The sequence below is a fragment of the Homo sapiens genome, chromosome 8, assembly GCF_000001405.40.
Source record: "Homo sapiens chromosome 8, GRCh38.p14 Primary Assembly".
Lineage (NCBI taxonomy): Eukaryota > Metazoa > Chordata > Mammalia > Primates > Hominidae > Homo > Homo sapiens.
In genome coordinates this window covers 52,003,851-52,016,317 of record NC_000008.11, presented here as the reverse complement: position 1 = coordinate 52,016,317, position 12,467 = coordinate 52,003,851, and the positions used below count along the sequence as shown (strand labels likewise).

The window sequence follows — 12,467 nt, the reverse complement described above, 5'->3', positions numbered from 1 at the left end:
CACGAGGTCAGGAGATCAAGACCATCCTGGCTAACACAGTGAAACCCTGTGTCTACCAAAAATACAAAAAAAATTAACCAGGTGTTGTGGTGAGCAGCTATAGTCCCAGCTACTCAGGAGGCTGAGGCAGGAGAATGGCGTGAACCTGGGAGGTGGAGCTTTCAGTGACCCGAGATCACACCACTGCACTCCAGCCTGGGTGACAGAGCGAGACTCCATCTCAAAAAAAAAAAAAAAAAAAAAGAAAAGAAAAGAAAAGAAAAAGAAATTCAGAAAGTAAGTGACAAGCTCCAAGCTCCTGCAATCCATGAAACCTGACTCACCAAAGCTGGTAGGGAAATTTGAGACACCCACTCACTGGGGTCCCTGTCCCTAGTGCAGTGCCATATAATCAGAAAGAGACCTCTTAGCTCCTGGTTTCTCCCAAGTGGGGAAGGGGTTGTTTCCCATATCCAGCACCCCAAGTTTCCCAAGAGGGCTCCCCAGAATATCGACCACTGTCCTGCTATACTTGAAGTGACTCAGATAGGTCTACCACAGCTTACCATCCTGGAGGGGAGTGGAAACAGCAGCCCGGGCTGGCAACGACCATAGCTCCCCATCCCACTCCCCACAGAGTAGCTGAACAAAATTCATAGCTGCTTGCCTCTTCCTGGAAAGGTAAAGATTTGGTAGAGGCCCCCAGAATCTCTGCCCAGTCTGATTGATGGGGGTCATCTTCTGTATGAGCCCAGTCCATGAAGACCAGCAGAGGTGGCTGCTTTGTCTAACGGGCAGACATCAACACAAAGAGTATAAGAAAAACAAAACACAAATAAAGACAGCAGAGGAGGAAAAGAAATTCTCATCATCTCTAAGTATTAGGGAAATGCAAATCCAAACCACAATTAAGTGTCATCTCATTGACACCTGCCAGGACTGCTATTATCAAAAAACAAAGGACACCTGTTAGCAAGCATGTGGAAACTGCACACCGTGGGTAGGAATGCAAAATGGTGCAGCCACTGTGGAAAACAGTACGGAGGTTCTTCAAAAAATTAAAATGCGAACTACCATATGATCCAACCATCCCACTCCTAGGTATTCAAATGAATTGAAATCAGGATCTTGCAGAGATGTCTGCCCTCCCATACTCATTTGCAGCATTATTCACAACAGCCAAGAAGTGGAAACAATCTAAGTGTTGTTTAATCATCAGTGGATGAATGGATAAAGAAAATGTGGCATATCGGGCACAGTGGTGCATGCCTATAGTTCCAGCTATTCAGGAGGCTGAGGCAGGAGGACTGCTTAAGCCCAGGAGTCCAAGACCAGCCTGGGCAAAATAGCGAGACCGCATCTCTAAAAACAAAAAGGAAAAAAAAAGTACATACATAAACACACGTGTGTGTAATGAAATACTATTCAGCCTTTAAAAAGAAGAAAATTCTGCAATATGACACCATGAAAGACCTTGAGAATGTGATGGTAAGTGAAATAAGCCGGATATTTAAAGCCAAGTACTGCATGATTGCATTTATATGAGGTATCTAAAATAGTCAAATTCATAAAATTAAAGAATGAAATGGTGGTGACTAGGGCTTGGTAATGGGGAAATGCGGAATTATTAATCAACAGACATAAAGTTTCAGTTAAGCAAGGTGAATATGCTGTAGAGATCTGCTGTATAACACTGTACCTAGAGTCAACAATAATGTATTGTACACTTAAAATTCATTAAAAAATAGATCTCATGTTAAGTGTTCTTACCACAATAAAATGAAAAATTCTTGAGAAAACATTTTTCAAACCACAAAATGACCAAACATCTCCCTCTCCTGGCTAGTATAGGTAACTGCTGCTTCTTTATAAATCACAGCTTCAGCCTTGTTTCTCATCTTGTAAGAAAAGATTCAGCCATCCAACTGTAAAATTGCCCCTGCCTCCTGACAGTATTGATTCTTACCAAAGCCCCATTCCCTGAAACCCTCTTTCAAAATCACCTACTCCAAACCCAAATCCTATAATAGTTTCTTTTCAACACTCTCTTCCTGAGACATCCACGGTTTTCCATGGTGTTTGTTTTCTCTTGCTGCAACAAGCACGATCCACCTTCCTCAACCACAGTTGTGTTCCTGAGGGTCTTTGGTAGTTCTCCAATATGATGTAGCTTTTTGCCTTTTGCTATGAGTACAAAAACTGAAAAAAATAGACATAAAAAGAGGCTTTTGTGCTGAGATTTAACTTTTTTCCTAGCAACCAATACACAGCACTGGGTGGTTACCAGGCACCTTCTATCTTAATTAACATGTCTACAAAAATGTAGAGATCTGTCTTTTTTGTTCCAGATGCCTGCTTTGCAGGTATTTGGCTATCTATGGTTGCTTTTTGCTAGTATTCACATATCTATCAAAACACTAGGGTGAGGCTTATTATTACTGGTATAAATGTATTTTTCAAATTTTTCTTACTGATAATTTCAATTTTTGTGTGATTTATTGTTAGGTCTGATTTTTTTTCCTGCCTTATATGTGACTGATAATGAGCTTGGTTTGTTGTTGTTGTTGTTGTTGTTGTTGTTGTTGTTTGGAGACAGAGTCACTCTGTCGCCCAGACCTGGAGTGCAGTGGCGAGATCTCAGCTCACTGCAACCTCTGCCTCCTGGGTTCAGGCAATTCTCCTGCCTTAGCCTCTGGAGCAGCTGGGATTACAGGCACGCACCACCATGCTCAGCTAATTTTTTGTATTTTTAATTTTAATTAAAATTTAATAGAGACGGGGTTTCGCTATGTTGGCCAGGATGGTCTCGAACTCCTGGCCTCAAGTGATCCGCCTGCCTCGGCCTTCCAAAGTGCTGGGATTACAGGTGCGAGCCACTGCACCCGGCCACAAGCTTGTTTTAGGTGTTAGAGTGAGAACTCTACCATTTCTTATTTTTAGCTTGTGTTTTTATTGTTGCCATTATCTTCATGATTTCCTCACATGAATCTGTTTAGTCTCCTGTTCATTTTGTACTGTTGGTTTAATTAGTATCAGATAATGTAATCTGCAAATACATTTAACTAGGCTCAGCCAAACTATTGTAATAAACTATTACAATATGTGGAAAGCAAACAGAGAGAAGGTGATGCTCTTGATCCCAGGTATAGTGGATTCACACTGTTCTCTGGGAAGGCCTGGCAACTGTTCTTGAAAAGTGGCCACACAGGCCTCATTTTGACACAGAGTCAACCCAAACTGAACACTCTTCAAGTTCATTTGCCTTTCTAATACATGAATACATGCAAAAAAGTTCTAGTATTTTCCTCATGCACCCAAATCAAGCAGAATATTGCTTTTCATTATATCTTTAGTGAAGGGCTAATTTTTCTCCTGGACAGATACTTTTGTAAGAATACAATAAAAATAAATTACTAGGAAAGTGATTGTTTTAAACATACAAAATACAAATAAATTTTTGTTATTATGAGATGCATAAAATGTAAAACTACTCTGTTATGTCGTCGCTGCACGTGTTTCTGAATGCTCACTCTGATTTCCATTCTGATCTCATTGCAGGCCAAGAATCTGCCGGCCAGCACCAGCTCTGCACCTCCCTCTCAGGAGCTCGGCCGAGAACCCTAAAGGAGACGACTGGCTCCATGAAGGTAGGAATGGCAGCAATACCATTTCCCCCTGTGTATCCAATACCTGCCATGAAGTCTGGAATGGAGAGTGTCCTCAACAAATATTTGTCCAGCAAATGAATGAATATTAGCAGGAACAATATAAAAGGAGTACCATTCATTCATTTACATTTATTTAGCATTATTATGTATTAGACATTGGTGGAACTATTGGAGATAAAGCATTGAACACAATAGACTAAATCCCTGGTCTCATGTTGCTTGTTGGAATAGAGTATTCATTAACACTAAATGTTTATCCTAAATGTTAAAAATCAGGAATATGTATCAGGTAAATATCTTTAAAAAGTTCATACCCTTTGGTCTTATTAATTTAGGGAAAAAATTCTAAACATATAGAAATATATATATGTTATATAAATATATATACAGAAACATATACTATGTATACAGAAAACAATTTATGCTCAATAGTAAAAAGTCTAAAATCTGCCACCTAAAAATCTGGCAGGCTACAAAGGAATGTTTAAATACACGTTTAAAAGGTCCACTTGGTAAAGTATGATGCAACTGTTAAATTAGATTTCAATCATACTGAAATACTTGTGGATGAAATGGTATGTCTTGGGTTTGCTTCAAACCACTTCAGGAAGGAAGAAGGAAGAGGGTAAGTAAGTGAAGGTTTAGATGCATAGTGGCCTCTAGCCCAAACAGTGAACCTGTGCCTTTGCATTCTGACAGCAAATAACAGCATAGCAGATACTTACATGGTGCCCACCACATGCCTTGCACTGTGCTAAGTGCTGTAGTTATTTAATTTTAATCTCACAAAAGCATGTTGAGGTTGGTACTAATGTTAGCACCAATCTTCCGGGTAGGGAAATGAGGCACAGAGTGATGAAGTAACCAGCCCCAAATCACACACTTGCTGAGTGACAGAGAGAGGCTTCACACTGGGCCCTCGAGTACGTCCTGTAAACTTCCACACACTACAGGTGTAACTACAAAACCCATGCCAATGGATTTCCAGAAGAGACTTCGCTTCACCCCAAAGGTGAATAACAGCCTAATTCCTGTCAAAAGAGTACACAAGAGGAGGCTCTGAAATGACATCTTCATCTGCTTTTACCTTCCCATCAAATGTTTATTTCAAACCTCGCAAGGTCAACTGTTGTTCATGTCTCAAAATACTGGTACCTCCCAAATCCCTGTCGAGCAGTCTCTGCTGGAAAGAAGTGTCTACCAAGTCCTTGCCCTAGGAAAGGAACATAGCCCAGTGTTGATGACAATGAAAGTCTTTTCTCTTTGACGTTTAGCTTCATGGATTGTGACACATCCTTTTTCCATGTGCCACATTCACAGAAACGAAGGCGTCACTGTTAACAGAAGCATGCCATGTTCAAGAGTTTCAGGTGGCTTGGCTTGACCTAAGCATAGTTTATGATGCTTCACAGGTACTGATATGCTATGTGCTCTCATCTCCAGGCTTGTACATATGCTATTCCCTCTGCTAAGACCCTCTTCTCTGTCTTCACCTGGCTAATTGCTAACTCATCATTCAGGTCTCAGCTGAGATGCACTTCTTTTGATTCCCAAGTATCAGTCAAAAACTCCTTTAAATTACTCTGGGCTTTCCCTAACACACCTGGATTGTAGTCGCCTATTTACCTGTATCACCCCCAGGGTGTGTGCTCCAAGAGATCAGGAGCCATGTCAGAAATGTTCACCATTGTAATCTGAGCACTGGCACAGTTACTAGCCTGTAATATCCATCAAAAGACTGGATTAAAAAATGCTATAAGGGTATCTCATTATGAATAGGATCCAGCATATCATTGGTATTCAAATGCTGCTAATAGCACATACACTTTCGCAGCAGCAACGCCCAACAAGATGTTCTTGATGTTACGTAGTTTATTCCATTTATAGACTGGGTAAAAATGAAGTTTGGGAAAACTAAAGGATTTATGAATGAATGTTTGTTAAATGGGAAAGGTTAAAAGATAGCAGGCAAACCAAATTAGGTTGTCTAGCAATACGAGATTATTATGTATTTATACAAATCCATTTTAGGGAAGTATACGTATGTTACCTCAGAGTTACTCTAAGCACAGAGTTCATAGGAGAAAGTGATGGCAAGAGCTCAGATTTTGAGCACCCTTCTATTCATACCACACCAAAGACTTTCCATTTTTTTACAGCCAGTGGCAAAAGGCATTCTGCAGGCACTCAGTGATCAAGGGACAAGGAAGTAACTTCAGCAGATTCATGTTTTTGTGTGAGGAAATATCTGTACAGTGTGCAGGCAAACAAAGGCAGGGAGAACACCTTGGAAGCTCTTACAACAGTCTAGGAGAATTGATAAAGGCTGAATTAGGGCTGTTTCCTAAACTCGAATGATAACCTCGCATTTTTACTGTTTTTATATGTACAGTAAATATTAGTATCATTTTTTTTCTTTTCAGTGACTCGTTGTAAAAGGAAAACTTACATTCTTACTACCACCATAAGTGGCATGACAGTACTACTTGTCATAAACAGAAAGTAGAAAGAAAAAATAAACTCAGGAAAACAAAACCAAGCTCTTGAATCCTACCTCAGCCAGAGGCCAAATTAGAAAGGCTGCTAGGCTGCTAATCTCTCACACCACCAAGCTCCACTCCCTTGCTAGATGTTGGGGTCAGCCCAGTTAAAGAAAATGTTAAGTAATTTCAGGCAAACAGTATAAAAAATGAAAGATATGAAAGAGAAAAGTATACATATATATGGCAGAAATCACGGAAGTCACAGAAATGGCAGAAAAAAAAAGTTATTTTAAATAAATACATGGCAATGGTTAAGAATCTGTAAGACTATGGGCCCCAGATTCTTTGACTCAAACTTGATTTAGATCATAGTTGAAACTAAGAATCCTAAGTTTTTCACTAAGAAAACCTTGACAAATTCGTTTTAACAATACGAAATAGCAGCTTATCCATTACTTTGTGTTTAGAAAGAAAGACAAGAGCTGGGCCAGCAGCCGGAGCCTATAATCCAGGACTGACCATTTGAGGCTGCCAGGAATTTGAGGCTGCAGTGAGCTATGATCCTTCCAAGAAAAATATGAGGAAAATTACATCTCTAGTCACTCTATGTTTGTGTATCTCTTTCCTTCTGTCGGTTTCTTAACAACAACAAAAGACACTTTTCTATACAAATGGAAGGTTCACCTTAGTAATTCCAAGGATTTGTAACCTTAAGATTTTGAAACTATATTTTAAGCATATTGATTGTAGAAAACTGTTTGTTTCCTTAAAGTTCTAGACAATTTTTCTCATAGGAGATTGATTTTAGTCAACTGTCACATCATAGTGAACTACTAAGACCTCATAGATTTTATTACAATTAAGTAGGCTATTATTTATGAACAGGTCTTTTTTTTTTACTAAGTTAGAAACATCTAAAAGTATTCACTTCTCCTTGCACAAGGTACTATTTAAGTAAAATATGTAAGTACTTTTGACAACTTTGCTTTAATACATAATGAAAACAATCCTAGTTTTTCACAAACTAAAAGATAACACAATGGAAAGGAGAATACAATCTCAGTCATCTAAATCTAAAGTAATTCAATCTTGTGTTAGTCAGTTTCCGCTGCTGTAACATAAACTTATTTCTCACACTCCTGGAGGCTGGAAGTCCAAGATCAAGGCACCAGGAGATGCCAGGTCTGGTGAGGGCCTGTTTCCTGGTTCATAGGGGGCTGACTTTTTGCTGTGTCCTTACATGGTGGAGTGGGGAGGCAGCTCTTTGGGGTCTCTTTCACAAGGGTACCAACCCCATTCATGAGGGCTCCACCCTCATGACCCAATCACCTCCAAGGGCCCCAACTCCCAATACCCTCACAGCAGGGATTAGGTTTCAACATATGAATTTTTAGAGAACACAAATATTCAGACCATAGTAAACCCACTTTTCCTTCCTAACAAGTGAGTAAAAGTACACTGCAGGAGGGCCTGGATTTCAGTCAGTTGGAGAAGGGAGAAGTGCGTGCGCCCGTGCCCAGGCGTCCAGCAGAGGGCAGGGCAGCTGCATCTGAGCGCCGCTGGAGGGCAGGGCTGGAACAGGATGTGGCTGAGCCCCGAGCGGGGAAGAGCAGGTGCTGCTCCCCTGCAGAGGGGAAATCTCCTTCCTTACCATAAGCAGATAGGCAGTGCCTGGGGCTGTGCAATTGCAGGGTTTATACTTGCTAGAAAAGAGAACAGAATGTTGCTACAACGATGGAATTGAACCAATTATGGTGAATAGAACTCAAGTCAGTCTGGGGAATTGCTGGAATAATAAGCGAATGGCTAAAGGAGAGCTAAGTCCCTGTCAGTTTACTTGTAAAGAAAACTAAAATGAAGCTCAGCGCTTTCCTTACATGCAGGAAAGATGGGTCCAGGCCATGGCCCTTGCCCCTTAAGTCGTCCTAGGGTGTCCCCTCCACACCCTCCAGCTACGAGGGACTCACAATTCCTTTCCCAAGCTGCCCATGCGCATCCCCAGGGCCCTTTGCTCCTCTTCCTGGGCCTATGCCCCAGAGGCTGGGCTTGGCCCCCATTTGTATCCTTAGTCCGAGGAGGACTGGCCCAGCGGTAGCTTTTGAGAGTCACAGGCTGCAATGGTGCGGGAGGGAGCCGCGGCTAGCGGAAAGCGAGACCACCCGGTCCACCACCGCATCCTAGAGGGGCACTCAGAAAGGCCCAGAGCTGGAACGTCATGCCTGGACTCCCTCACTATTTGGAAAGGTATGAGGCTAGAACAGGCATTTTAAAACAGTTTTTAGCTTGACTTATACCTTCTAATTTGTACTATTGCCCCTTGACCTCACAAAAGTCATGGAAATCGTGACAGAATCTGTCTCGTAGGTTGGGTGTAATAATGAAAGTCTAAAAGGAGTTCAGAGAAGGGAAATATAAATAGTGAAAATGTGCCAGCAGGTCAGACCTACCCGGGAAGCAGGGCGTCTGAGATGAACAGCCCTAAAAGCAGAGCGCGGTCCGGAAACAGATGGAGCAGTTCAGCCTGTGCCACATGCACTTGCTGGCTAAGGCTGCCGGAAAAAAAGTATCAAGGACTGGGGGACTAAGCCAACAGATACTTATTTCTTCATAATTCTGGAGGCTAGAAGGTCAAAACCAAGGTGAGGGCAGGGGAGGTTTCTCTCGAAGCCTGTCTCTATGGCCGGTAAAGAGCATCTCCCCGTGTCCTCACACAGCCTTCCCTGTGTGTGTCTGTGTCCTAATCTCTTCCTCTGATAAGGACACCAGTCATACTGGATTATACTGGATTAGGTCCCACCCATAGGACCTCATCTGAACTTCATCCGTTCTTTGTTTTTCTTTTTTCTTTTTTTCTTTCTTTTTTTTTTTTTTTTTGAGATGGAGTCTCGCTCTGTCGCCCAGGCTGGAGTGCAGTGGTGCGATCTCGGCTCACTACAACCTCCACCTCCCAGGTTCAAGCTATTCTCCTGCCTCAGCCTCTGAGTAGTTGGGATTACAGGCGTGCACCACCACGCCCGGCTAATTTTTGTATTTTTAGTAGAGAGGGGGTTTCGCCATGTTGGCCAGGCTGGTCTCGAACTCCTGACCTCAGGTGATCTGCCTGCCTCGGCCTCCCAAAGTGCTGGGATTACAGGCGTGAGACACCAGCCTTGGCGTCATCAGACCTGGGCTCAAAAACGACTCTGCTTCTTACGAGCTGTACAATTTCAGGTGCTGTGGTGAACATGCACGATACACGTTTCTCATCTGTAACTTCGCTGCCCCGTGCAGTGGCTACTGACCGCAGGTGGTCATTGAGGCTTGAAATGTGGCTCTCCAAACAGAGGATCTATAACTGTAAAATTCACAAAAGATTTGAAGAACTTGGCACAAAAAGGAAGAATGTGAAATATCTCATTAACTATTTTTATGTTGATTACATTAGAAATAACATTTTGGATATATTGGGAAAATACTGAAATTAATTCTACCGGTTTATTTTACTTGTTAATGTGGTTACCTGAAAATGTAATAATACCACATATCCAGCTCACATTTTCTTTCTACTTAAGAGCACTGATCTAGAGCACGAGAGGGATGGCCATCTGTCCTGCGGCAGCCAGAACAGTCTAGAATGATGCCCAGTGCCCTTAAGAAATCACCCAGTTTCACACTTTTACTGGGTTTAAAAAAAAAAAAAAATTAAAGCAGTACTAATAGGTGCATTAAAAGAAGTTGGAATGGGTTTGTGGACCTGCACTCCATACTTCCTGCTCAGTCAGCTACTAGTGTGTGAGACACGTGTGACAACAGAGGCTAACTGAGGTATGCTTGGTTCTGCCAGCACCTGCCTCTCCCTGACCCTGGCCAGAAGCGGTAGTACTCACACCTCCCTTTTACAGACACCTGCAGGCACTTGCAAATTAAAGAAAATTGCGCTCAGAAACTGCTGTATTTACAAATAAGTGTGCATTCTGACAGCTGCAGCTTTTCTGTAGATTGAAACAGCACTGCAGCTGGTGTGGACACAACTGTGAATTATGTCTGCACCACAGCCAAATCCAAGTCTTTTCTATGTCACAGCTTTCTCGACTTAGTAAGATTCCTGTTTTTACCATGCCTCCGACAAAAATGTTTTGTATTATCATCCCCAAACACATTATCTTCTACTTGTCAGAATTTACCCTAGGCTAAGTGCTTCAAAATCTGTAGAGAATTTTCTCAACTAAAAGTTATTATGGTCCATAGACTGAAGTCAGGGGAAAGTACCAGTAATTTCAAGTTTATTAGCTCTAAATGCAACTTTGAAAAAGACTGCAGGCAATTTTATTTTTAAAAACTTAAAATAAAAGCTACATTAAAAAATAATTTCACCCAGGCCTGATGGCTCACACCTGTAATCCCAGCACTTTGGGAGGCCGAGCTTGGCAGATCACTTGAGGTCAGAAGTTCAAGACCAGCCTGGTCAACATGGTGAAACCCTGTCTCTACTAAAAATACAAAAATTAGCTGGCATAGTGGCACGTACTTGTAATCCCAGCTACTCGGAAGGCTGAGACAGGAGAATCGCTTGAACCGGGGAGGTAGAGAGGTTGCAGTGAGCTGAGATCACACCACTGCGCTCCAGCTTGGGCCACAGAGTGAAAAAAAAAGTTTCAGAAAAATACCAGTGCCATAGTGTTTTTTAAATGTCTAAAACATTAATTTAAACATTTGAATATATACCAAGAATAATGATTCTGCTTGTATTATTTTAATGATATCATCAATATAAGGTAGTTTTAAATATTTTAACATACATACATATGTACTATTTTTAGAATTCATATTTGAAGATAGTTGTTAATGTAATAGTTGTTAATGTAAAGTAATGTTATGAGCCCGTCCCTATAATAATACCAATTTGTTGGTTAATCAATTGGTATTTCAAAAATTATAAAATTTTTAGAATTTAGGGGCCCCTTTTCATTCTCAAAAGTGTCCCAGGTTAGGTGGTCTACCATATGGTTACCAAAGCCCAGGGACAATCATGCTGCCTGGACAAACCTCAGGGAGATCATCAACCCTCCAGGGCTGGATGGTGACTCCATGATGACATCATTAGGAACACTTTACATGCACAGCCTTCCGGCTGCATCAGTCCCCTTGTGGCTTCCCAGCCTCCTATGGCTTTTCCCCTCATTTCCACATGCTTCACCTTGAAATGCCTCTACAGTTAGTCTCAAAGTTATTATACCTTATTACTATGTTAAAGTAGTCAATAAGAACTGAATGGTTAGCATACAAAATCTCTCACTCAGTTTGTCTTTTCTGAACAGCAAATCTTCTTTTAGGGACTTCATAATATCATATGGGACCAAGGGAAGTGTCTTTTTCTTTGAAATCATTAAGTGATTTATAATGACAATTTATAATGAAATGACAAAATGTCTAATTTTTATCACCTAGCAACTGTACCTGTCAAGAGAATACTAATTAAATCAGGGCCCTAGTGGTGTAATTGTTAATCATTATCTAACTCACCAATATATGTTTAAGTGTTAAACAAAATACAAAGTTTAATTTGTTAGGTTATAATTATTTTAATTAGACTAATTTACTGTATTAATTATTAAAACATCATCAAATACCTAAGATGGCTTAAAGTGAATGTGTAAATGAAAAAGATGACAATGGTCTCAGAGAGGTTGAAACCAAACTTCTTTTATCATTTTGGGTGAGATTTATGTTTTCTAACAAGTGGTCCTTCCACATTATTTATTTAGACTTTATTGTTTAAAATATAAAATCAAGGCTAGTGAATCAGTAAAAATTTATTCTGCTTTAAACTCTAAAGAACATGGGGATCATGAATTCAGAGAAAAGACGCCAGTTTTCTTTAGCTCCTTTAGGGTTACTTTCTCAGCATGTGCCATGAAGCCACCGTGCACTTCAACAGCAGCTTCTCCCAGAAGAGAGCAGCACCCAGGCCAGCAGAGCGAGCGTGGCCTCAGCCACGTGGGCACAGAGCTTCCCCAACAGTTTGGGACTGGATCAGCAGTAGCCTGAAAAAGCTCCCCATTTCTAGAGATTTCTACAGCTGTATTCTTTCAGAAACTGCAACTATAGGAAGCTTGCTGCCGATAAAGCTCACTGCTGAGATTAAAACAGATTTTAATCAATCTGTGATCTGGATGATGGATTGTTTGAACTTTGAAAAAATTGTCTTGTCCTGCCTTGATGCTCACATAAAGTAACATAGTTTTTTGCTAGTTTATTTAGGTACCATAAACTTTGCCAGTGGAGTTGTTAGAGTGTGCTGAATCAATGAAGTGGTATGAATTGGTATGAATATATTATGTGTTATTATTCATTGCTG

General features: G+C 40.9%; 1 long non-coding RNA gene across 1 annotated transcript in view, besides 1 other annotated feature; it reads right to left on the bottom strand.

Moving 5' to 3' along the window:
- LOC124901944 (uncharacterized) overlaps window positions 1-12,467 on the bottom strand; it is a 49,354-nt gene that overhangs the window by 6,657 nt on the left and 30,230 nt on the right. The gene's annotated exons all lie outside the window — the stretch shown is intronic.
- Window positions 7,901-7,960: an enhancer, noted in NCBI's record as "active region_27343". NCBI's record gives its function as "activates an Ori minimal core promoter by ATAC-STARR-seq in GM12878 lymphoblastoid cells {active_cell/tissue: GM12878}" and the evidence as "EXISTENCE:reporter gene assay evidence [ECO:0000049][PMID:35858748]".